Consider the following 27085-nt stretch of genomic DNA (forward strand, 5'->3'; position numbering starts at 1 on the left):
TCTACCTTACCTTGGTCACTCATTTCCATGGTCATATACTAGACCTTGTCATTACTCATAATTATAATCTTCCAACAATTTCAATTAGAAAACTTACACTCTCTAAGCACTCTCTTATAGCTTTCCTGCTTAGTTCCTCTAGCATCTTAACTCCAACAACCCCAACCCCACCAGGACCTCCAATCCATTGATTCTACTACACTCATACTTTCCCTCGTTGCACTGATAGCCTCTTTTTCCTACCTAGCCAGCTTAAATTACATGGTCAATTATTATAATCACTCCCTTGCATATACCTTTAATGTCATGAGCTCTCTTCTGCCTCACTTTACTTAGTTTGGCAAAACGACAATCCTATTATAGTTAAATCCAACTCTCCAACTACTCTATGTCAGCACCCATGCAGTTGAATATGTCTCAATAAATACATAAAATCACAATGACTGATCCTATTTTAAAATTCATAATCACAAACATCAAGCTGGCCCTTAGTTCTACTTGGCAATCCTAAATTTCTAGTCACTCTCCCACTCTCCTAGAGACGTATTTCAAGTTTTCTTCTTTCTTCACACACACCTCCCACAGCTCTCCCACTGATCCTCGTTCACAGCTAATGATCTTGTTTGGCTACTACCCTGAAACGAACGAAACAATCAGAAGAAAACTACCACTGACTTACCACCACTTACACACTTAACTATCAGCATGTACAAGCATATATTTTGTCTTTTCATATTTTACTATGGGAGACTACTTCTATCTTAACTTAAACCCTCCACTCATGCACTAGATGTCATCCTTTTTCATTACTGTAGTTCAAGGACATTGCTCAAGCAATTCTCCCCTTTCTCCTCTATTACTAAGCTTTACCCCTCCTAACCGGATCCCACCATGCTGTTTTCTCTCCCATCTTAGGGAAACAAAAAAAAACTCTTGATCTCATTTCTCTCAGCAGCTACTGTCCCATTACTCAACTCCCCACTGCAGCAAAATTTCTCAAAAGTTGTCTATAATTTCTGTGACTAAATCTTTCCTACTATTTGCTCTAAAATCCACTTCAGGTCGGCTCTTACCTTTCTTTCAAAACTACTTGTCAAAGTCACAAATGAGCATCATGTTGCTAAATCCAATGACCAATTCTCAGCCCTCATCTTGATATATCAGTGGCTTTAACACTTCAATCACTCTCTCCTGATACACTTTCTTTACTTGACTTTCAGGACACAACATTCTTCCAACAATACTGAAGATTTTACTTTTCAACCTTAGTAGTTTTCAGTTGCCTTGGCTGGTTCCTCCCCTTCTCTCAGATTTCTTAACACTGGAGCATTCCAAGGCTCAGCCCTCAATGGTGACTTCTTCTCTATCTACACTCACTTCTCTGGTGGGCTTTAAAAACCATCTACATATCAACTTCCAAATTTTTATCTCTAGTCTACATGTCTCTCTTAAACTTCAAACTTATCTATTCAATTACTTTCAAAATATATCCTCTTTTGAAAAACATCTCAAATTTAATGTGCCAAAAACTGAAGAAATATTCTCACCCAAAACTTATACCTATGTGTCCCACACTTTGGCCGATGGCTCAATTTTGCTCAGGACAAAAACCTAGGGGGCATTCTTGACTCCTTTTTTTCTTACACTCCACATCCTATCTTTCAGGAAAATATGTTGGCTCTCTCTTTGAAATATATCTGTAATCTGATAGCTTCTCACCCTCTACATTGCTACCATGCTAGACCAAGTCACCATCATCTCTTCCTTGGATTACTGTGATAGACTCTTAACTGATTGCCCTGTGTCTATTCTCAACATAGGGTGATGTTCTTAAAACACAAGTCAGATCATGTCACTTCTCTGCTCAAAAGTCTCTAATGTCTTGCCATCTCACCCAGAGCAAAAGCCCAAGATTTTACAATGGCCTACAAGACTCTACATGACCTAGCCTCCCCATTTCCTTACCTCTATGATATCATCCTACAATTCTCCCCCTTGCCTAATCCTCTCCAGCCACACTGGCTTCCTTGATGTTCTTCAAACAGGCCAGGTACACTCTCCTCCCTTCAGGCCTTTGCACTAGCTGCTCCTCTGTATGCCACTCTCTTCCCTCAGACATCCACATGGCTAACTCCCTCAACTACTTCAACTCTTTTTTCAAATGTCACCTTTTAACAAGGCCTACCCTGGCCACCTTACCTAAAACAGCAAACTTCTCAGAACTTCCGATCCTTCTTAAACTGTTGTATCTTTTCCTATGGCAGATTTTGACCTCTTTGTTATTCACAAAATTAGTTTTATGCAAAATAATATTTGCAAAATCACAAATCTGGTAAGTCTTCCTTCATTCTAAAACCTCCAAATAGGATGTTGTGACCATCTAGACTCTTTTAGCAATTTCTGATTGTCAACTATATTGAGTCAGGTGATGCTGGCAGAAAGCTAAGATTCAGAGAAGTGAAATACTACTATGCAACATATTCAGCAAGAAATAAAATGAGCAAATTGAGTCATAAATAGGAACCACAGTCTTGACAACCACTAACTAGCTAATCATTAGAGCTAGTCGTTTAGAGTTAATCTTTCTCCAAATGATCACAAGTTAGCAAAAGGGCCAGTGCAAAAAGGCTAACTTACAGCTTCTGGGTTACCAAAAATTCAAAAGCATTTCAATCATATATAAACTCTTCAATCTAATTTTCAAGAAAGCAAATGGATGATTTTTCCTAATACTGTTTTAAAAATTGGCCAGGCGCTGTGACTCACGCCTATAATCCCAGCACTTCAGGAGGCCAAGGCAGGCGGATTGCTTGAGGTCAGGAGTTCAAGACCAGCCTGGCCAACATGGCAAAACCCCGTCTCTACTAAAAACACAAAAATTAGCCGGCACGGTGGTGGGCGCCTGTAATCCCAGCTAATCAGGAGGCTGAGGCATAAGAATCACTTGAACTCAAGAGGTGGAGGTTGCAGTAAGCCGAGTTTGGGCCACTGCACTCCAGCCTGGGTGACTGACCGAGACTCTGTATCAAGAAAAAAATTAAATTAAATTAAAAATAAATAAAAATCAACTTTATACCCAGTAAATTTTACTTCTAGGAATTTATCCTAAGGAAATGAGATACAATGTGGGACCAAGATATCTACAATAAAGTAGTTTTTACAATTTTAAAGAGCAAATAATTTCATATACATAGAGTATTAGGTAACATTTAAAATTGTGTTGAATATTTAATTACATAGAATTATGTTCAGCATATAATGTTGTGCAAAGAAATAGAACAAACTGTATACAGTATATGAACTTGATTTTCTAAAAACATAATTATATACTGATACACAGATATGGATTTTTTTAAAGGCCAGAAGAAAATATGCCAAAACAATAACTGCAGTCATCTCTGAGTTTGGTGAGACTACAGATTATTCTGCCACATTTTCTATATATTTTAAGTTTTTTATAATGACCCTTTGTTGCTTTTCTAATGAAAAAAACAAAAGATGTATTTTGCCTACCCTAAGATCCTAGATTATAAAACGTACCATTACTTTATGTACCACTAGAGATTCTAAGATACATTCTAATTTCAAAAATGTTCAAAGTTTTTTTAAATGTCACAATAGGTAAAATATCATAATAAACATTATGTACCTTGTACTGTTTGACCAGAATACTGCTACTCTGCCTAAAAAAGCCCAGTATACATTGCATACTTTTAGAGTAGTGAAAGCAGCCCTAAAAAGCTCAAAAATTAAACTTATTTGAAAAATTCACAAGAATGTTATATTCAATTCCATAAAAATCTGATTTTTCTTTTCTTTTTCCTTGAGACAGGGTCTCACGCTGTCATGCAATCTCAGCTCACTGCAACCTCCACCTCGGAGTTCAAGCGATTCTCCCACCGCAGCCTCCCAAGTAGCCGGGACTATAGGCACACAACACCATGCACAACTAATTTTTGTATTTTTGCAGAGACACAGTTTTGCCATGTTGCCCAGGCCGATCTCGAACTCCTGGGCTCAAGTGATCTACCTGCCTCGGCCTCCGAAAGTGCTGAGATTACAGATGTGAGCCACTGCAACCAGCACTGTTTTAATTAAGAAAATTATTTCATGTCCAAATGTTCAAATAAAATCACACTCTAGGAAGATGTGCTACATTTTGACTGCATAGGCACATAGGCACGCATCCACCCACCCACATACACACAGAGTAATCCAGTTTGATAAACAGATCAACAAAAAATAAATATAAAAAATCCAGACTCCTAAATTCAAACTCCTCAACATGGCAAAAAAATATATATATATCATTAGTGACTGTCCAGTCTTATAGTTCTAGATAAGATACTCCCCACAACCATGCTCTAGCAATGCCTAGTTATTTGCAATTATCTATATAAGCCCATACTGCTTCATCTCTCTGTGCCTTTCCAGATGTTATCACTAGCCTAAAATGACTTCCCCCACCACCTTATCTGACCAAGTTACTATTAAACAAGATCTAATCTTTTATCTCCTCTTTAGACATTCCTGATTCCCTCTCAAGCACAAGGTATGACTCCCTTCTCTGGGACATTATTTCCCTATATTTCACCTAACAATCTGAACTGGAATTGTTTCTATAGGTCTGTTTCTTCTATTACGTTGTATGTCCCCACAATCCTTAAGGATAGAGATTATACTTGTGCTCGATGCTACTGAAATATTAAAAACACTTAATGACATTATATACAAATGGAGATAAACACATGCTGCATTTATCTATTCAGGAACAACAGAAAAGCCATATATATTTACTCCAAAGTAATAAAAGTATATATTTAAAAATCCATCTTGAGTTTCTCAAAATGTTAAATATAGAATTACCATATGACCCACCAATTCCACTTCTAGGTATCTACGCAAGAACAATAAAAACATATGTCTACACAAAAACTTCTACACAAATGTTCATAGCAGCATTATTCATAAAAGCCAAAAGAGAATCAATACAAATGTCCATCAGCTGATAAGCAGATAAACAAAATGTGGTATATCCATACAATGGAATATTACTGGCAATTAAAAATGAAATACTGACACATGGTATAACACTATGAACAATGAAAACATGCTAAGCCAAAGAAGGCAGTCACAAAAGACCATTTTATTGATGATTCCTTCTATAGGAAATGTCTCTATAGAGTCGGCAAATCTATAGAGACAGAAAATAGATTAGTGGTTGTCTAGGGCTGGAAGCCTGGAGAGAAATGGAGACTGACTGTTAATGGGTATGAGGTTACCTTACGAAGTGATGAAAATGTTGTAAAAGCAACTGTGGTAATGGTTGCACAACTCTGAAAATACACATACACCCAAAAAGCTCACTGAATTGTATACTTCAAACGGGTGAATTTTATAGCATGTAAATGATAACTTAATAAAGTTGCTTTAAAAAATCAATCTTGAGTTTGGCAATGATTTTTATATGACACAAAAAGCACAATCAATGCAGAAATATAAGTTAGATTTCATCAAAATTAAAATTTTTGCTCTATGAAAGACATTATGCAAATGAAAATTGACAGTAGCAAATGCGGCAAGGATGCACAACAACAGAAACTCTCATTCATTGTTGGTGGGAATGTATAATAAAATGGTATAGCCACTTTGGAAGACAGTTTGGCAGTTTCTTAAGAAGTTAAACCTGTTCTTAGCAAACAACCTAGCAATGCTACATCTGTGTATTTACATATCTGCCCAAGTGAATTTCAAACTAAATTCATGGCCGGCACGGTGGCTCACGCCTGTAATTCCAGCACTTTGGGAGGCCGAGGCAGACAGAGCACCTGAGGTCGGGAATTTAAGATCAGCCTGACCAACATGGAGAAACCCTGTCTCTACTAAAAATACAAAATTAGCCGGGCATTGTGGCGCATGCCTGTAATCCCATCTACTAGGGAGGCTGAGGCAGGAGAACTGCTTGAACCTGGGAGGTGGAGGTTGCCATGAGCTGAGATTGTGCCATTGCACTCCAGCCTGGGCGAGAAGAGCGAAACTCCATCTCAAAAAAAAAAAAAAAAAAAAAACCTAAATTCATGCAAAAACTTGTACACGAATATTTACGGCAGCTTTATTCATAATTGCCCCAAACAGGAAATAACGAATATGTTCTTCAACAGAGGAATGAACAAACAAACCAAGGTATATCCATTCAATAGAAGGTTGCTCTGCAATTTAGGGGAAAAAAGGAAAAAGCAACTACTTCACACAACATGGACAACATGAAGGAATCTTAAATGCTTTTATTTTTTTTTTTTTTTCAAGGCAGAGTCTTGCTCTGTCACCCAGGCTGGAGTGCAATGGCGCAATCTTGGCTCACTGCAACCTCCACTTCCCAGGTTTAATTGATTCTCCTGCCTCAGCCTCCCAAGTAGCTGGAATTATAGGCACCTGCCACCATACCCGGCTAATTTTCGTATTTTTTAATACAGACGGGGTTTTGTCATGTTGGCCAGGCTGGTCTTGAACTCCTGATCTCAGGTGATCTGCCCGCTTCAGCCTCCCAAGGTGCTGGGCTTACAGGCAAGAGCCACTGTGCCCAGCCTTAAATGCATTTTTGCTAAGTGAAAAAAAGACAGAATCAAAAGGCTATACACTGTATGATTCCATTTAATGACATTCTGGAAAAGGTAAAACTATAGGAACAGAAAAAGAGATCAGTGTTTCCCAGGAGTGGGGGTGATGGAACTGTTCCGAATGGTATTGGGGTGTTGCAGACAAGACTATGTGTTTGTTAAGACCCACAGAACTATACACACTTTATGCAAATTTAAAAAATCAATTGGGATTCTGGGGGATCTCAGGATGGAATCCAGATTCTAACAAATGAATCTAAATGTATGACTAACAAGATGACATGCCCTCATTGAAGGTGGTGAGGGAAAAGAAGCTGAACTACGTAATGCTGGAAAACTGTTTTAGCTGGAAACTAAGGCTAAAGACAAAAAAGGAACTGTACAAAGATATTGTGTTCCAGTTGGTAAATCCATTTCTCACAGGGTGTATGGTTTATTTTACATGAATATTAGGGTTGAGTAAGTAAATACCAATAATGGGAGCCAGGTTTCTCATCATCAGAGAAAAAAAGTTACAAACAGGCAAGGGCAAAAGCTAGAATGAATCTTGTGATACTAGTTTAGAGCTGGTAATATCAGTCTAAACACGTTTAACATGTGTACAGGTATAGAATTATAGTTATGTGTATAGTCACAGGCTGGTATACATGCATACATATATTTCCTAGCTATGGCAGCTGAGAGGGCCTTGAAACAGTGATCACCAGTAGCAATAAGCACACCTAGCACCCAGATCTTGGTTTCTAAATATCATTCTCCAATAAAAGGAACCAGAGCTCCTTGGAAAAAATGGCTGATTTCAGGGCTGAGGGAAAATATAAGATGAGCCTGGAGCATCGTGTAATGCCAGAAAGTAAAGAAGTGTTCCTTTTTTTAAAAAAAGTAAGAACATGTCAAAGAACACAGGAGTAGGAGCTGGGTCCAACCTGAAGGAGCTCCCAAAAGGCAAAAATGAGAACAATTTAAGTAACAAAGTATTAGGTTGGTGCAAAAGCAATTGAGATTTTTGCTAAAAATAGTGGCAAAAACTGCAATTACTTTTGCACCAACCTAATAAATAACACACTACTGGATTACAACCCAAAGTATGAAATAAATATATGCAGTTTATATTATATAAATCAATGACTAAATTAATAAATGGGGGAGAAAAGGCAAATCTTCCCTACAGAATTCCAAATAATACGTGTAAAGTCTCCCCTCCAGGAGAGTATGGAAAGGGAATACGCTCCCCTCCACAGCGTTTGGAAAAAGAAAATGGTAACTTACTAGTGGAGAAGCTTGCCAGACACTACCTTAAACCAAATGATAAGCGTTAACATCACCAGTGATGTGCCTAGATTTATGATGGAGTTATGTTCCAATGAAACCCTCATAAAGCTGGAAATTTTAAAGTCAGAGACCACCTGGACTTTCTAGATCATCTCTAACAAGTCAGTATCCAACGTCTAATGCACTGAGCTCATATATAACAAGTACTTACTATGCTGTCAGGTTTGGCAGTAAAAACATAAATGCCCCTGCTCTCATGGCACTTAAAATCTAGTGACAGGAGAAGGAGAAAAAGGAGAATGGATACTGTCTTAGTCTGTTTTTTGCTGCTATAACAGAATACCACAGAATGGGTAATTTATAAAAGAAAAAAGGGCATCTGGCAAGGGTCATTCAATGGTAGACAAGTGGAAGAGTAAGAGCATACATGCACAAGAGCTCACTTTTATAACCCCTTCCCACAATAACAGCATTAATCCATTCATGGGGGTGGAACCCACATGACCTAATCACTTCTTAACGTCCCCACCTACTAGCACTGGCAATTAAACTTTAATGAGTTTTGGTGGGGGCATTCAAACCACAGCAGGTACCAATTAAATAGTCATACAAATAAATATAACCTGTGATAAGTATACAAGATGCCATAGAAGTACATGCTCAGAAGGTCAGATCCATGAAGCCTAGATAACCAAGAGGTTAGGGAACAAAAATGAAGGCTTATTTGAAATTTAAAGGATGACTGCTTTGAGTTGGGTGGGTTGGAAAGAATTCTAGAAAGAGAAAAACAACATCTGAAAAGTCTTATGGAGGTGTCATGGTACTTTCCAGGAAATAAATGTCAGCGTGTAGCTGATGTGTAAGGAAACAAGGAGGAGAGGTGTACAGTTAAGAATGTAATTTAGAAGCTTAGATAGCATCAAGTTTAGAAAATCCACCAAAAAGCTGGGAATGGAATTTGACTTAAATTTACTATTCAAAAAGAATCCTCTGGCAGCAACGTAGGTAACTGTACATAGGCAAAAGTAGATGTATTATTGAGACTGAATGGAAGATTTTTGTGATCATTTAAATGAAAATGAAGAAGCTTAAACAATAGTTGTGTTGGAAAAAGAGGGAAAGTCAAGCCTCTGTATGAAGACTGCCACTGTTCAGAAATCTGCACTTATCAGTCTTTTCTTTGGTTTATTATAACCAGACCATTTACCTATCTTTAGTTTTTTGGGAACTCCATCATTCTCCAAAGTTTCTCTAAAGATCTTCAATCACCTCAGCATGTTAATTCAATAGGTGTAAACTGCCTTGATTTAGAGGTATTTAAAACACTCAAACTTTCTCCTCTTCCTTGAACTTACTTCAATTTCTTTATCTAAGTTTTTAAAACTCATGAGAATTTGAAAAGAAAAAACAAGCAACTAAGTAATTTTTTTTAATATCCAACCCATTAACCCAAAAGCCCCAGCCTGCCATTTCAGTCTCATCCCCTGCAGTCCGTCCTCCCGACCCTTTCTCTCTCATTATAAACCAAGTTCAATTTACACCAAACTCCTGGTTCCTCAAAGATGTCATACTTTTGGAAGACTCTGTGATTTAAATGGTCCTCCCTCTCAGAACTGTCCTTCCTCCATTGAAAAATCTAGCCCATGTTTTAAGACTCAAATATTACTTTCTTTTGGAAGCCTTTCTTTACCCCATTCAAGATCTGTGTATCATTACATTCTCTACAAACTTCTACTATTATAAGGTATATCTGTGTGTGTTTCCATCCATGAGATGGTAAGAGCTACAGTTTCTAAGAAAAACAGTCTTGTTCTTCATGTCTTTAGTAACTGGTCATTCAAAAACTATTTCAAGAATGGTCTCATGTAGTGAAATTATCCTTTTCTCACACATCTTGAATCCTAATTCTAACCAGGAAGGATGGGAGTAGAAGAGAGAATGACTTGTAAAGGGCTTAAGAGCTTTTCACAAGTTGTGGCTCATTATAGTCTTCTAGCCTAACACATTTTTAATAGATTTATACTACTCTTTTGTATTTATCCCTGGATATGTATTCATACTTCTGATCTGGTTCATAAAACTTTATAATCTCAGCTGAGAACTCCCTGTGGAAGAACCTTGCTTTCTATGGCTGCAACCTTCTAATATTTATTGCTTTTGATTACATTTTCTAAGCTTGGAGCACGTGTCTAACTGCGCCCACTATTTCTTTCCTTCATCAACATAAAGTCTTAGGCAGTTTTGCCTCTCAAGGGATATTTGGCAATGTCTAGAAATATTTCTGGTGATCACAACTGGGGATAGGTGTTAGGATATGCTACTGGCATTAAGAAGGCAGAGGCCAGGGGTGCTGCTAAACATCATACGATGCAAAGAACAGCCTCCCAGCAAAGAGTTATCTGACCTAAAATGTCATTGGTGCCACTTGAGAAACCCTGGTCTAAAGTGAACTGAATGCTTTGTCTCAAGGTCTGTGTAACATTCTAAATGATCATCGCTTTTGATCACTAACTCTGAATAGTGATTATTCGCATTACTTTCTCAGTAATTGTACTAGTGCCAAAGCAACCAAAAATTTACCAACTGTACTGTATGCTTTTATCACTACCATAGCTATTATGTCACTTTTGTAATCTATATTATAAAAGATATAGTATATGACATAAAATATCAGTTCTGTTTTTTTTTTAAGCCAAACAAATGAGCTCTCTTGCATTTATACCCGGAGGTTCATGAATTTTCTTCATTCAATGGTCTTACCTTCTCCATTATCTTCTTTTAGACTAAGATTTGTTTGATAAACATGTTTTTCTATTAACATATAATTATGAATCTTGTACCCTAAAGTCTCTGTGACATCCATAATGGTTTATAAGCATATACAATCATAATCACTGTTCCCAAATTTTCTCTCCCTTCATCCTCCCAATGTTCTGGCTCCCAACATGTGTCTTCAAAACTGTGACTAACTCCCACAACAATCGCTTAATTTTATCTTGGTATCATCTCTCTAACTCCTATGAAAATGTCACCTGAAATCTTTCCTTATCAGGTATGTGAGGCTGATAAACATCTTCTTTGCAGCCTTATTATTTAGGTATCATACACCAGAGCCCAGAAAAGTAAATCTTTATATTTCACTATTCAGTCAAATGTTCACAGATTCTCCTTTCCCTTTTGTTTCCACACACTTCTTAACACAAAGAGATAAAAATTAACAGGTTGCAATATAATTAAACCTGATGATTAAAAATTATATTTGAGGCTTAATTTAATATGACTTAAGCTGAATTTTTTAAAGAAAAATATTTTATCCCATATTCCAGGTATATTCTTAGATCACTACATCTGATATATGTCAGCAAAAAGCAATTAGAAACAAAACAAAAATTTACCTTTAATAAAATAATTTTGATGTGCTTGCTGATGAAAGCTAAATCTATATAAAAGAATTTCAGCGGTATGTAAAATGCTATCCTATACAAATCTATTGCTCTGTGTGAAACATAAAAACACAATGCCAGTAATTGAAGGAGAATGTTCTAATTATATTGAAAAAATAAGTTTGTTATGTTTATTTACACTTATAACATGTTTATTCACCTTGTTTTTGTTCATGTCTTTAAATTTTATTATGATTTCATGGTAGCCACATACATTGTTTTCCTTAAAAAATTAACTTACATAGAAGTAATTTTTTTTCTTGAAGTAACATATTGGTTTAGAATTAGGCTGATTACTAAATGAGCATTAAACTTCATGTTTTTTAAGGTTGAGTTTGTTAATATAACTAATAAACATAGAGTAAATGATGCTTTTTGTATATAGATTTCAATGCATTTCTGACTAACACATATACTCATGTAATCATCACCACAAAGAGGTTACAGAATTCCAAGGTTTCTTCATACCCTTTTCTAACTCCTGAAGTTTTACCTCAACCATAGGATTTCTAGCTCAAAGTTTTGCATTTCCAGCATGTCCTACAAATGGAATCATGCAGTATGTAGCCTTTTTGTGTCTGGCTTTTTTCACTTAACAGAATGCTTCTGAGATTGCTGGATATTGCACATAGCAGTAATTCATTACTTTTTATTATTCAGTAATATCCCACTATGTGGTTGTACCACAATTTATCCATTGATCAGCTGACGGGCACTTGAGTTGCTTCCAGTTTTCAGCAAACATAAAGTTGCCTTAAACATTTTAATACAGCTCTTTGTGCAGACATATGCTTTCATTTCTTTTCAGTAAATATCTAGGAGCAGAATTCCTGGGGTCATATAGTAAAGTGCATGTATAACTTTATAAGAAACAACCAAACTGTTTTCCAAAGTGCCTTACCATTTACCAGTCAGCAATGTACAGGGTTCCAGCTGCAATGCATTTTCATAAATACTTGATATTGTCAGTTTAGAAAGTTTTAATCATTCTAATAGAGGTGTACTAGTATCTTATTGTGGCCATAATTTGCAACTTCCTAATGACTAACCACCATGAACAGTTCTGCACATGTTTACTGGCCATTTTTACATCTTCTTTGGAGAAATGTCTATTCAAATATTTTTCCTACTTTTAAACTGAACTATTTGTCTTATTATTATTGAGTTGTTACACTTGTTTATATATTCTAGATACCAGTCCTTTATTGGACATATGATTTGCTAATGTTTTCCTATTTTGTAAGTTGTCTTTTCACTCTTTTTTTTTTTTTTTTTTTTTGAGACAAAGTCTTGCTCTGTCGCCCAGGCTGGAGTGCAGTGGTGCAATCTTGGCTCACTGCAACCTCCACCTCCTGGGTTCAAGCAATTCTCCTTGCCTCAGCCTCTGAAGTAGCTGGGATTACAGGTGTCTGCCAACATGTCTGCTAATTTTTGCATTTTTAGTAGAGATGGGGTTTCGCCATGTTGGCCAGGCTGGTCTGGAACTCCTGGACAGAACTGATCTGCCCGCCTCAGCCTCCCAAAGTGCTGGGATTACAGGCGTGAGCCACCATGCCTGGCCTTCACTCTTGATAGTATCTTTGAAGCATAAATAAAAGTTTTTTATTTTGATGATGTCCAGTTTATCTATTTTTCTTTTGTTGCTTGTGCTTTTGGTATTACGTCTAAGAAACCACTGCTTAGTCCGAGGTCATGAAGATTTCAACCTATGTTTTCTCCTAAGAGTTTTACATTTTTAACTTTTATATTTTCGGTTAATTTTTGTACATGATATGAGGTAGGAGTCCAAATTCATTCCCTTGCGTACGGATATCCAGTTGTCTGAACACCACTGGTTGAAAGGACTATTCTTTCTTCTTTTACATGCTTTGCAACTATTTTTTCCCAGCCTTTGGCTTATCTTTTCATTTTCTGAACAGTGTCTTCTGAAGAGAACTATTTTAAATTTCGATAAGTCTAATTTATCCTTTTTCAAAAATGGTTTGTGTTATTTGTGTCCTATCTAAGAAAAACTTGCCTAAGGAAAGTGGCAAATATGTTCTATGTTTTCTTCTAGAAGTGTTATTGTTTTAGCTCTTACATTTACGTTGATGATCTATTTTGAGTTAATTTTTGTATACAGTGGAAACTGAGGCTTGAACATTGAATTATCCTGTCACCTTTGTTGAAATCAATTAACCATATACTTGCATGCACAGGTCTATTTCTAGATGCTCTTTTCTGTTCCACTGAACTATGTGTTTATTCTTTCATCAAGACTATACTGTCTTGATATTGACCTTAATCCTCCAACTTGCTCTTACTTTTCGAAACTGTTTTGGCTGTTCCAGGTCCTTTACATTTCCATATGAATTACAGAATTGCTGGTCACCTTATACAAAAAACTGTCTGCTAAGGTTCTGAGAATATACGGACTCTATAGATCAATTAATTTGGGGACTGTTAACATTTTAATATTGAATTGTACAATCCATGAACATTGAATATCTTGTTAGGTCTTCCTTAATTTCTGTCTACAATGCTGTATAGTTTTCAGTAAACAGGTTTACACATATTTTGTCAAATTTACTCCTAAATTTTTCATGTTTTTGCTTCTATTGTAAATGGTGCTGTATTTGTTATAATAAATTAATTCCCAATTGCTTGTTGTTAATAAATGTATGTGCAACTGCTTTTTGGATATTAATCTTCTAACTTTCAACCTTGCTGAATGTACTTATTAGTTCATGTAGCTTTTTTGCAGAATCTTGAGGATTTTCTATATGGAAAATCATGCTGTCTAAATTGGGAAAGTTTTACTTCTTCCTTTTCAATCTGTACGGCTTTTCTTTATTTTACCTGATGGCACTGGCTAGAACTTCTAAGACAATGTTAAATAAAAGTGGTAAGAGAGGACAGATTTGCCTTTTCCAATCTTAGGGGAAAAGCATTCGTCTTAAACAAGTAGATACAATCTAAACTGTAGGTTTCTTGTAGATTCCCTTTATTGGGGAAAGGAAGCTTCCTTCACTTCCTAGTTTGCAGACAGATATTTTAAAATTGTGAATGGATATTAAATTTTATCAAATGCTTTTTCTGCATCTACTAAATTTCCTTTTTAAAATATGTTAATGTGGTAAATTAAGCTAACTGATTTTTGAATTTTATACTAACTTAGTAATCCTGGCATAAACTATCCTTGGTCATGATTTTTACCTACTGCTACATATGACTGCCCTAAAATTTTGTTATATTATTCTCTGCATTTTTCTCCAATTTAAAAATTAAAATAAATTGTACAGGTTTACCAGTTAAAACAGTTTACTTTAGATTTACACTTTTATTTCACTTATTTCTACTAAAGCATTAATGTCTCTATTTATAAAATATACAAGCATACTTAACATTATGAAAGCAACAAAGTAGCACAGTTTAAGGAAGCATGAATTTCATTCTTGCTAGCCATTACTTTAAAAAAAACCATGCCCCACCCTCTGCCTTTGTACTAAGGAGCATTTACCCCTTATCTACACCATCTCTATAAATGCCAGTTACCATTAAGATAAATAGTCAAGCCTCTCCATCTTTTTAGTTCCTTCACTATGTTGTCAGGTAGGGAGGTAAGCAACTGTAAATATTAATAAAATTTTACTGCTATGTCCATAGGACATGAGAAATAATTAAAACTTTTATACTTAAAAACTTCTCAGTTCAGAATCTGGCACCATATTCAAAAACGAAAATAAAACAATAATTTTTTAAAAATTGAAAAACTAAAAGATCATAAAATTAAAAAATTCTAATACAAGATTTCAAAGTATAGAAGTGATTTAAAAAATCAAAAAGATATGACTATTTAGAAAAACAAAACCTTTGTAATAAAACATATATAACCAAAATTGAAAGATAACACCAAAACCAATCAAACTTACATGTATCAATATTTATAGTTCAGAAACAGAAATAAATAAAGTAAGGAGGACTTTATGATCTAAATCTTATCAATTCTTTAAGATTAAAAGTTTGAAATTATAAGTTATTTAATCAAATTTTTAAATGATAAAATCCAATCTAAAAAGGAGCCTTCGGAAAAGAATATCTGTAAAATTTAAATATAAAACAGCTTTCATGGAGAAAAATTCTCATGTCTCAGCAGTTACTCAAACTCAATGTGCAGTTATTCAAACTCAATGCACAGTTTTTTGAATACTTATTTTAACTATTTTTCATCCCTTTCTCTTCAAAATATTTTGGTTCTCCTAACAGGCATCCAAATTGTTTCTTTCACACTTCCTACTAAATTCTATGTAGAAATCATTGATGAAATCACCAAAAAGTAAATAGAAGAAAAAATAAGGGCTTGAATGACATAAGTGAAAATGTAGTTATATGAAGTCTGTCATTAACCTCCACAAAAAATTACTTACATCTGCTTAAAAAGTTGTCAATATTTTTGTTTTTTCTTAAGGCAGGAAAATCCAAATCATATACCAAAGCATCCAATCCATCCTAAAGAAACAAACAAACAATGGTTAGTTTTTTGGATCACATTATACAGTCTCCTTTTTTATGAAAGAATAAAATATACGCTTTAATATTTAATTTCCCCTAACACATCTTGTGTACATTTAACACCCTCTACAAGGTTAGATGAGTACTGGGAGAAAAGTGGTTTTCATTTCATATGCAGTTCTTTTTACCTTCTAAGTCTGCCAGGCCCAGGGGCAAGAAAATTACCACAGATTGGCTGCAAGTGATTTCAATCCATGCACTTTTCCCCTCATAAGGACATGAAATTTTATTTTGCATTACTTCTCCTTACTACTGCATTTATCTTTATCTTAGACATCAAAAACCTACATTTGTTACTATAAATATTTTATAAGGTAACAGCTAAATAATAATAAAATGTGAGGTTTAATATAAAATAAATACTGCATAATCACAAATGCAAGCTATATACATTTTTAATTATAAAAATGTATTAGATTGTCATGGGTCTTCTTTCTTTCTTTGAGGCACTTTCTAGGGAAAGCTAGCAGTAAAGGACACACCTGAGCTTTTGCATTTTTTCTGCTTTTTTTTTTTTTTTTTTTGAGGGTCTTGCTCTGTTGGCCAGGCTGGAGTGCAGTGGTGCAATGTTGGCTCAATGCAACCTCCACCTCCTGGGCTCAAGCCATCTTCCTGCCTCAGCCTCTTGAGTAGCGGGGACTACAGGCTCACGCTACCACACCTGGCTAAATTTCGTCTTTTTATAGACAGAGTTTCACCATATTGCCCAGGCTGGTCTTGAACTCCAGACCTCAAGCAATTGCTCCTGTCTCAGAGTCCCAAAGTGCTGGGATTACAGGTGTGAGCCACCACGCCTGGCCGAACTTTTGCTTTTAAGTGGATATTTAAATATTATCTAAGCAAGTGCATGGCAGTGTGAAGGTATACCAAGCAGTGTTGAAGTGGGAAAGCATCTATTCAGACTATATCCTGCTGCATGGCAGGAACTGGAAGAACTTCAGATAATCCTAAGCAATCTTCACTATAAAGTCTCACTCTTTAGTAAATGTTGTTTGTATAATTGAATAGCACTATGGAAAAGAATGGTTTTTGCGTGATGCTTAATAATGTAATCAGTTCCAGACAGGTCAAAACATTAAAAAAATAAAGAACCAGGCAAAAGCATTTTAAAGAAAAAAATAGTATATTTACATGATACCGTTGGGAGAACAAGTCACATAACCTTTCTGAGCCTCAGTTTTCTTTTTTGTAAAATGAGGGATAATGATTACAACACATAACAGATTTGTGAGAATTAAATGAGTTAACATGTGAAGTGTCTGGACCTTAATAGTCTCACTTCTCTCTCTTTTATTTCTGTTACTGACATTTGAAAGCTCTGAATGTTAGTCTCCCTATTAACAGGAATGACCTACACAGAAAACAGACATTTTAGTCACGTGGTCATAAAACCTTAAAAGTAAATCTTAGGTCATGATGTTAAACCCTTCCCCAATGCAGTAATCCAAAGTACTTTTGTTGTTGTTACACATGGGCATCTGAGTTTTGCGTGACCAAGTATTTGATCATGTGTTTGTTAATGAAAAATGAGCTGCCTCCACTAATTACATATAGTCACTAAGTGTTTGGACCTGGTACCACACACTTTAATTCTACAATACCATGGGATAGTCTATTACTTTTCAGCATCACCCATAAGCAAAACTTGTGTGCCTTTATTAGGGAAATAAAGTTGGCAAGAATGTATTCTTCTAACTTAACCAAAGCATATACCAACTGAGGTTTCTAAGGGGAGTCAAGACACTGGGGTGGGAGAGAGGGATGCAGGCTTCCATTTTAATGCAGTGGAAAAGCTGCACAATGCAAGGAATGTGTATGTCCAACTATAAATGAGGCAGGAACCTTAGCTTTTATTCAATACTCTGAAGTTCCATAAAATAATGCAGATAAGACTTCCACACTTCCTAAAAGTCCAAATTCTAGTACCAGGACTCGGAATGTTAACATAACATTCATCCAAGTGCAAAAACAATTCACGAGGAATGATAATCAAAGGATATACTTCCACTGATCCTTCACTTAATTTTATGATTTAGGCATGAGCAAAACTACCTTCTACTTTCACAACATGTCCATCATATAGCTTAATCATCAATTTAAAAATGTAGAGGAGGCCAGGCACGGTGGTTCACTCCTGTAATCTCAGCACTTTGGGAGGCCGAGGCAGGCGTACTGCCTGAGATCAGGAGTTAGAGACCAGCCTGGCCAAAATGGTGAAACCCCATCTCTACTAAAAATATAAAAATTAGTCAGGCATGGTGGTGGTGGGTACCTGTAATCCCAGCTACTCGGGAGGTTGAGACAGGACAATCGCTTGAACCCGGGAGGCAGAGGTTGCGGTGAGCCAAAATCATGCCTCCAGCCTGGGTGAAAGAGACTCCGTCTCCAAAAAAAAAAAAAAAAAAAAAAAAAAAAAAAAAAAACAAAAGTGGAGGAGAAAATATGTAACAGAGGGGCCAATCAATGTCAAAAAATTACAGTAATTAAATTCTTTGCTACTAATAGTTGAACAAGGGTAGTAGACCAGTTGTAGCAGTTACATTTTAAAAGAAGGTAGTTACATAAGAGAAGTATTTTCACATATACACACAAAGGCAGGCATAATCAATTAAAAGTATAACATTTTACAGTGATCTCTAAAGTAAAAACACTTCACATTTCCTGAGAAGCACTGATATGGCAGGGGGAGCAGGGGGAAGAGGAGGTAGAGGTCCATTGTGTTATGCCACAACAGAGTTCAAGTGAAAGCAGAAGCAAAAGAAAATTATTCAACACTACTACAAACTTTAGTTTTCTGGATAAATCTGAATTAACAAATATGAGTCAGGTGTAAAACATCATTTAGGATTAAATCCATTAAAAGTAACACATTATAAGGTATGAGAATTTAATGGCACTAGGAAAGGACAGTTACACTATTATAAGAAACATTCATTTTTAGGTAAATTTTCAAAACCTAAATGGTTATTATTCTAAACCTAACAGACATATTTTTGGAGAAACACCACCCCACCCTCAAAATCCATTGAAAACTATGGCAGCAAAACTGGGGCTTCTGAAAATCAAACTACTTCTAAAATGGGCTGACCACTGGTACTAAAGACTGCTGACCAACTTTGGTAAGAGAGGATATACCATTTAAAGAAAATGTTTTTGGTATATGTAGTAGAATGTTGTTTTAACTAAGTCCCTTAGGCCAGATGCTGTGGCTCACAACTGCAATCCCAGCACTTTGGGAGATCGAGACAGGAGGATCACTTGAAACCAGGAGTTCAAGACCAGCCTAGACAACATAGCAAGACCCTATCTCTACAAAAATAAAAGTAAAAAAAATAGCTGGGCGTGGTGCCGCATGCTTGCAGTCCCAGCTACTTGAGAGGCTGAGGCAGGAAGATCGCTTGAGCCCAGGAGCTCAAGGCTACAGTAATCTATGATTTTGCCACTGCACTACAGCCCTGGTGACAGAGTGGGACCCTGTCTCTAAAAATCAATCAGTCTGTCAATCTCTCTTCACTTGATAAAGAAATAATTCATCAAAATTAAGCACAGCTATGAAAATGAAAACAGAATTTCCTTAGGGAATTTTAACAACCTGATATTAAATACAGTTAAAATCTGTTTAACTGGTGTGACATTACTATACCCATGTCAATGCTGCCCAGGACATTTATAGTCAATAAATAAGTAAATAATGTTCCAAATTATCTAGTACAACAAACAATGGCTCTTCCCAATCAGTCTCCAATCATACCTTTGTCCAGCCTGTTTCTCTACACATACATAGCTGGGCTTAGGCCACAGTGTGCTACCAGCCATTTCCCAAATAAGCCAGGCTCACTCTACCCTATGGGGCCTTTGCACCTGCTCTATTCTCCCGCTGGAATGTGAACATTCTTACATTAAGACTGCCTCAAATGTCCCTTACTTTGTGCTGCCTTCCCCAGTGCCCTGAGGGGAAATGTTACATAACCTCCTTTGTGCTATTACAGAAATTATGTATTTAGCTGTTATACTGTAATTATTTATTTCTAAATCTGCCTCCTCTTCTGCAGGAAAGCAGAAAAAAAATACTTCCTGTCTCTCAGAGTTCAGAAGTTAGTTAGTAGGTAGAAAAAGTAAATACAGGATATCAAGTGTTATAAGTAGGTACTACATAAATAGAGAAAAGGCTATTTGGGGCTTCACAGAGAAGATGAAATTTGAGCTGAACCTTGAAGAATAGAATTATGAAGGAATAAGACAGAAGTGGGGCAAGGCAATCTAGAGGTGAAAAGCAACGAGAATTCAGAGAATGAGGATAGAATGTTCTGGACTGGGAAAGGTGAGAAGGAGATGAAGGAGAAGGAGTCAAAGCTGTGATGATCAGGGAGAGAATGTTAAAGGTATAACATACCAGGAGAAGAATTTACCTTCTGATAATTTGGAACCACAGGAATTTCTGCGGGGGAGAAAGTGGCATAACTGGTTTTTATTTTAGTAGTCTGGCAATGATAAAGATGATAAATTAAAAGTAGAAGAGACAGGTGGAGATGAAAGCAACTAGGAGGATACTGTGGTAATACAAGCATAAAAGGATAAAAGACTGAAAAACTGGGTAAACAGGAATGGGGCATTAGAGGCAAAAGAATCTGATGAATAATTGAAAGAGGAACAGGAAGGGTTGAAAATGATTATATGATCTTCAAGTTGATGTGAGTAGACAGTGACTTCATTAACCAAGGCAGATAATATAATTTGGAGAGATGATAAATATTTCAGACACACTACATCTGAGGTCCTTTGGGATATCATTTCATGAATAACTAGATGGCAGCTGAATATAAGTTTGGGTTTAACAGAGAGATTGGGACTACAATACAGATTTGGGAGTCATGAGAGCACACTTAAATCCATGAGAACATATGCAATCATCCAACAAGAATAAACAGGGAGAGTAGAGAAAGACTGAAGAATAGAACACTGGGAAACACTAACATTTAACAGGTACACAGAGCAGGCTGGGCATGGTGGCTCACACCTGAAATCCCAGTACTTTGGGAGGCCGAGGCTGGTGGATCACCTGAGGTCGGAGTTTGAGACCAGCCTGACCAACATGGAGAAACCCCTTCTTTACTAAAATACAAAAAATTAGCCGGGTATGGGGATGCGCACCTGTAGTCCCAGCTACTCAGGAGGCTGAGACAGGAGAATCGCTTGAACCCGGGAGGCGGAGGTTGCAGTGAGCCGACATAGCACCACTGCACTCCAGCCTGGTGACAGAGCAAGACTCTGTCTCAAAAAAAAAAAAAAAGGAAAGAAAAAAAAGAGGTACACAGAGCAAAAATGGTGGAGGAGGACACAGAGAAGAAAGACAGAATAGTACCAAGGAAGCTGAGAAGGAACTTAAAAAGAAGAAATGCCTTAAGAATGAATTTAAAACATCTCAGGAAGTCAAACAGAATAGAGAATGCAAAAGAAGCCAAATCATTTGCCATTTAAACATCACTGATGGTCGCACAACAACGTGAATGATTAATGCCACAGAACTATACATTTAGAATCAGTTAAATGGGCTAGGTGGCTCATGCCTGTAATCCCAGCACTTTGGGAGGCCAAGGCAGGAGGATCACTTGAGGTCAGGAGTTCAAGACCAGCCTGGCTAATACGGTGAAACCCCGTCTCTACTAAAAATACAAGAATTAGCTGGGCATGGTGGCAGGCACCTGTAATCCCAGCTATTCAGAAGGCTGAGGCAGGAGAATCACTTGAACCCAGGAGGTGGAGATTGCAGTGAGCCGAGATCGTGCCACTGCACTCCAGCCTAGGTGACAGAGGGAGAGTCTGTCTCAAACAAAAAAGAAACAGTTAAATGATAAGTTTTATGATACGTTTGTGTGTGTGTACATATATATACACACATAAAAATTTTTGTATTTGTAGTAGAGATGGGGTTTCACCATGTTGGCCAGGTTGGACTAAAATTTCTGACCTCAAGTGATCCTCCCCTCTTGGTACATACACACACACACACACACACACACACACACACAGAGCCATAATTTATTTTAAGTCACTATCAGATGTCAGCAAATTGGTGGACTAGGAAGCTCCAAGCTCTCCTTCACCGACAGAAACATCAAAAGTAACAAGCTATCTGAAGCAGGTCTGCAATAGTTCTGGAAAATTTAGGTTTATAGCAAAAAACAAGCAAATATCCAATCAAGTAAAAGCTATCCCAAATGGTAGGAAAGTGTTATGGCAGTTTACTTGCTCTTGTCCCACCCCCTGCCAGAGAAAAGGACAGTCTTTTTTTTTTTTTTTTTTTTTTTGAGACGGAGTCTCGCTCTGTCGCCCAGGCCGGACTGCGGACTGCAGTGGCGCAATCTCGGCTCACTGCAAGCTCCGCTTCCCGGGTTCACGCCATTCTCCTGCCTCAGCCTCCCGAGTAGCTGGGACTACAGGCGCCCACCACCGCGCCCGGCTAATTTTTTGTATTTTTAGTAGAGACGGGGTTTCACCTTGTTAGCCAGGATGGTCTCGATCTCCTGACCTCATGATCCACCCGCCTCGGCCTCCCAAAGTGCTGGGATTACAGGCGTGAGCCACCGCGCCCGGCCAAGGACAGTCTTAAGTCTTGAGCAGGTAGCAGACTGGTTCCTCCTCTTCCTACTCCCCCACACCTTGAACCCAAGAGGGTAGAATAAGACCATACTGTGTATGTTCATTCTATCTTGTATGGGAGATACCTGAAGGACTAAGGCAAGAACCTAAACTCTGTTTCACATAATTCAGAACACAGGCAGGAAAAGCAGCTGGTGCTGCTCATAAAGGCTACAAGGAAGCTAACTACAAAACCTACTGACACACCTGAGGTAAAAGATGGGGGAGTAGGGAGGACTAATGGACACAACACATACAATAGACCATCTAGGCCCAGAGGAGAAGTGGGGCGAGACTTTTTTGGGAAATTAGATGATTCAAAAGCAGCCATGTATACAGGAGAATATAAAAAGCCGTGTGAAGCCCAGGCAAAAAAAGCATGCTAAGGAAAATCCTGAGAAGATCCTAAGCTCTCATCTCATGTGAGTTTCATCCTGAAACTCAGAACAAGCCTAGCTAAGTGGTAAAGGAGTACCCCAGCAGAGGGCAAATCTGCAAAGACTGAGAGGTGGTTCTCTTTTTGTTTTCTGAGGCTTTTTTGGTATGTATTGGAGCATCTCACATTCAAGGAAATCTCTGTCCAAACATTAGCTGAATACAAGCTAAAGGAACCAAGACTTCAGTAATCACTCACAGTAAGGAATAGTCTTTGCAAAAACAATTTGGAAAAGTCTCAAAACAAATGGACTGCAGTCATTTGTACTACAGCCATCAGCAATAAAAAACAAACTGGCCAGGCACAGTGGCTCATGCCTGTAATCCCAGCACTTTGGGAGGCCAAGGCAGGCAGATCATTTGAGCCCAGGAGTTCGAGACCAGCCTGGCCAATATGGCGAAACCCCGTCTCTACTAAAAATACAAAAATTAGCCGGGTGTGGTGGCGTGCGCCTGTGGTCCCAACCGTTTGGGGGGCTAGGGTGCGAGAATCGTTTGAACCCGGGAGGCAGGGGCTGCAATGAGCTGAGATGGCACCACTGCACTCCAGCCTGGGTGACAGAGCAAGACTCTATCTCAAAACACCCACCTACACACACACACACACACACACACACACACACAGAGAGAGAGAGAGAGAGAGAGAGAGAACCTAGTGTGGTAGGAGTTATTAAGAAATTATTTTAGGCAGATAGAGAGGAAAAAAAAGGGTCCTTTGGAAGGTTTTTCGCAGCTCTTGTCTAGCAGGAAAGCCCGGGGCACCTGTGCTGTAATGGCAGTCTGAGTGGATGGAGTTTGAGCTCTGGGACCCATCAGTCCTGCTGGACCATCTGTGAGACTAGTTCTGAACCCAGAACAAAAGACCAAAGCAGGTCTGTCTCCAGTAGTCTCCACCACAGGCTGGACAGGGTCAAGGTGGCTTTGTCTTGCTTCCTGGGCATTCCTTCTTAAAATGCCCTGACTGACCACATTGATAACAGCTAGTGGATGCACCTTGGGGATTCAGGACTTTACAAGCTTGTAATGCTGCTACTAGAGCCTCTGTTTTTCTCTTGTACTTCCTCTCCTTTTCTCGGGCCTCCTCCCAATCCCTTTTGTAAAAGACTGAAGTGGCTATTCTCAGGAGGCTTTCTAGGGTGCTATCTGGTTCTACTGCTTGCTTCTGTAGCTTTCTTCTAATATTGGGAGCTGCCTGTGTAATAAACTTGTCCTTCAGGATGAGCTGTCCCTCAACTAAATTGGGGTATAGAGAAGTGTGCTTTATTAGTGCCCCTCTCAGCCTTTCCATAAAAGCTGTGGGATTCTTGTCTGGTTTTTGGTCTATCATGGACAGTTTGGAGTAATTGAGAGGTTTAGCTGTGGTCTTTCGCAGGCCTTCTAATATACACCTTAAAAAGTGCTTCCTTTTCCATTCATCTGCTGAGTTATTGGGATCCCAGTTAGGGTTATTTACCGGAACTGCTTCCCTTCCTTGCAGGAGTGAAGTTTTCACCTCTTCCTCACCTTCCTTTTCTCCTCTTTTTTTCCTTGGTCTGCTGTATGGAGGCATGTTGCTCACCTCCATATTTTTCTGCTGCCTGCGGAACTGTCTGCTTTTCAGCTGTAGTGAGGGTTTAACTTAGCAGCAACATAACATCCCTCCACGTGAGATCAAACACCTGAGTTAAATTTCAGAAAATTTCTATATACCTATCAGGGTCATCAGAAAATTGACCTAAGTCTCCCTTTGTTTGCTTAACGTCCTGCAATGAGAAGGGAACTTGAACCCTTATGGCACCATTCCCATCAGGCATTTCCTGGAGGGGTAAGAGTGAAGAGGGGAGAGTAGGACATACTGGAGATGGTGGTGCTGATGGTACAACTGGAGTGGAACCGGAAGGGTTGGGACTTCAGTAGCTGTCTTAGATTGCTCCTCTGGAGCCCGCTTTAGCTCTGGGGAACTACTCCCTGTGGGTTTGCCTGCCATGGCTACTAAAAGAACTGGGTCGATTGTACAGAACTTGTAAAGGTCTGGGTTGTCTCGCAGAGCAAAGAAAGCCTGTACATAGGGGACCTCAGTCCATTTGCCCTCCTGTGTGCAGAAAAGTTCTAACTGTTGGATAATATTAAAATTAAGTCTCCCCAGGCCAGGTTTACGAAGAGGATAGGAAGGCCATGCCCTTGTGCAGTAGAATACTGCTTTTTCTTCAAAGTTTTAGGGTCGAAGGAGTCCCAGTGCTTTAAAATACACTCCAGGGGAGTGCATGTTGAAGACGATCTGTTACCCATCTAGAAAGAGAAGTGAGAACAAAAGCGTTCTCCTTCCTTTCGGTATGTGATCCACGTGTGTTCCTGTAGTTTTTTTCTAATTCGACTCGAGACGAAGACCCTGGTGTTCCCCCACTCATCAAAGCCATATCACTAGCAAACCCTGGAGAATAGAGAAAATCTAATTTCCAAAATCACCACATTATAACAGTTAAACGGCCAATTTTCCATAAAGAAACCACAAGATATACAAAGGAACAGAAAAACACGGCTGGGAGGAATGAAATAAATGAACAGAAACCATATCCAAGAAGCCCAGACATTGGACTTGATAAAGACATTAAAAACTGTCTTAAATATGTTCAAAGAGTTGAAGGAAAACACAGAAAAGGAACTAAAGGAAACTAGGAAAATTATATATGACCAAAATGAGAATGTCAACAAAGAGAAAGAAACTATATTAAGAAACCAAACAAATTCTGGAGCTAAAAACTAACACTTTAAGTATAAATGGACTAAACTCTCCAATCAAACTACAGAGACTGACAAAATGGATTTTAAAAAACAAACAAAAACACCATGATCCAACTATATGCTGCCCATAAGGAACTCACTTCAAGTCCAAAGACAAATGGTTAAAAGTGAAAGATGGGAAAAAATACTCCATGCAAATAGTAAATAAAAAAAGCACTGAGGTGGGTAGGCTAATATCAGACAAAACAGACCTTAAGTTAAAAAAATGGTTAACAGACAAAAAAGACATTACATATTGATAAAAGAGTTAATTCACCAAAAATATATTATCATAAATTTATATGCGTCAAATATGTACATTTGGTATATAAATATACAAGCCCCATGATATGTGAAGCAAACATTGAAAGAATTTAAGAAAGAAATACATAGTTCTACAAATAGTTGGAGATTTCAATAATCCATTTTCAGTAATGAATAGAACCAGACAGAAGATTAATAAAAAAACAGAGGACATGAACGACACTATAAACCAACTGGACCTAACAGATTATAAAGAGAGAGAGAGCACTCTATCCAGTAACAAAATACACATTTTTCTCAAGTACACATGGAACATTCTCAAGAATAGACTTATTATGTTATGCCACAAAACAAGTTTTAATAACTTTTAAAAGACCAAAATGACACAAAGTATCTTTTCCAATCACAATGGAATGAAACTACTAAACAATAATAGGGGAAAACTGGAAAATTACAAACGTGGAAATTAGACAATGAACTCTTAAAACTATGGGTCAAAGAAAAAATCATTGGGAAATTAGAAAATACTTTGAGACAAATGAAAATGAAAATACAATGTACCAAACCTAGTAGGATGCTGAAAAATCAGTGCAAAGGAGGAAATTTATAGCTATAAATGCTTACATTTTAAAAAGAAAAAAAGCTTTTAAAATCAATAAAAATAACCTAACTTAATACTATAAGGAACTAGAAAAAGAAAAGCAAATGAAACCCAAAGCTGACAGAAGGAAAGAATAAAGATTAAAGTGAAGATAAATAAAACACAGAATAGGAAAATAACAGAGAAAGCCAATGTGACCCAAAGTAGGTCTTCTGAAAAGATAAAATTGGCACATATTTGGTTAAGCTGACTAAGGGAAAAAGAGAGAAGACTCAAATTAGTAATTTCAGAAATAAAAGTGACGACATTCCTATCAATTCTACAAATAATTGTAATAGAATATTATGAACATCTGCACACCAGAAAAAAAGGGTAACTTACATAAAATGGACAAATTCCTAGAAGCATACAATCTGCCAAAAATGAACCATAAAGAAATGGAAAGTCAGAATACACCAATAACTGTAACAAGTAAGAAGACAGAAATGGTAATAATAAACCTC

General features: G+C 37.5%; 1 protein-coding gene across 1 annotated transcript in view; it reads right to left on the reverse strand.

Moving 5' to 3' along the window:
• ROCK1 (Rho associated coiled-coil containing protein kinase 1) overlaps nucleotides 1–27085 on the reverse strand; it is a 164908-nt gene that overhangs the window by 107888 nt on the left and 29935 nt on the right. The window contains exon 2 of the mRNA NM_005406.3: nucleotides 15739–15820. Within this exon, the coding sequence (NP_005397.1) occupies nucleotides 15739–15820 (82 nt within the window). The remainder of the gene's footprint in view (nucleotides 1–15738; nucleotides 15821–27085) is intronic.

Source organism: Homo sapiens, chromosome 18 (genome assembly GCF_000001405.40).
Source record: "Homo sapiens chromosome 18, GRCh38.p14 Primary Assembly".
NCBI classification, from domain to species: Eukaryota; Metazoa; Chordata; class Mammalia; order Primates; family Hominidae; genus Homo; species Homo sapiens.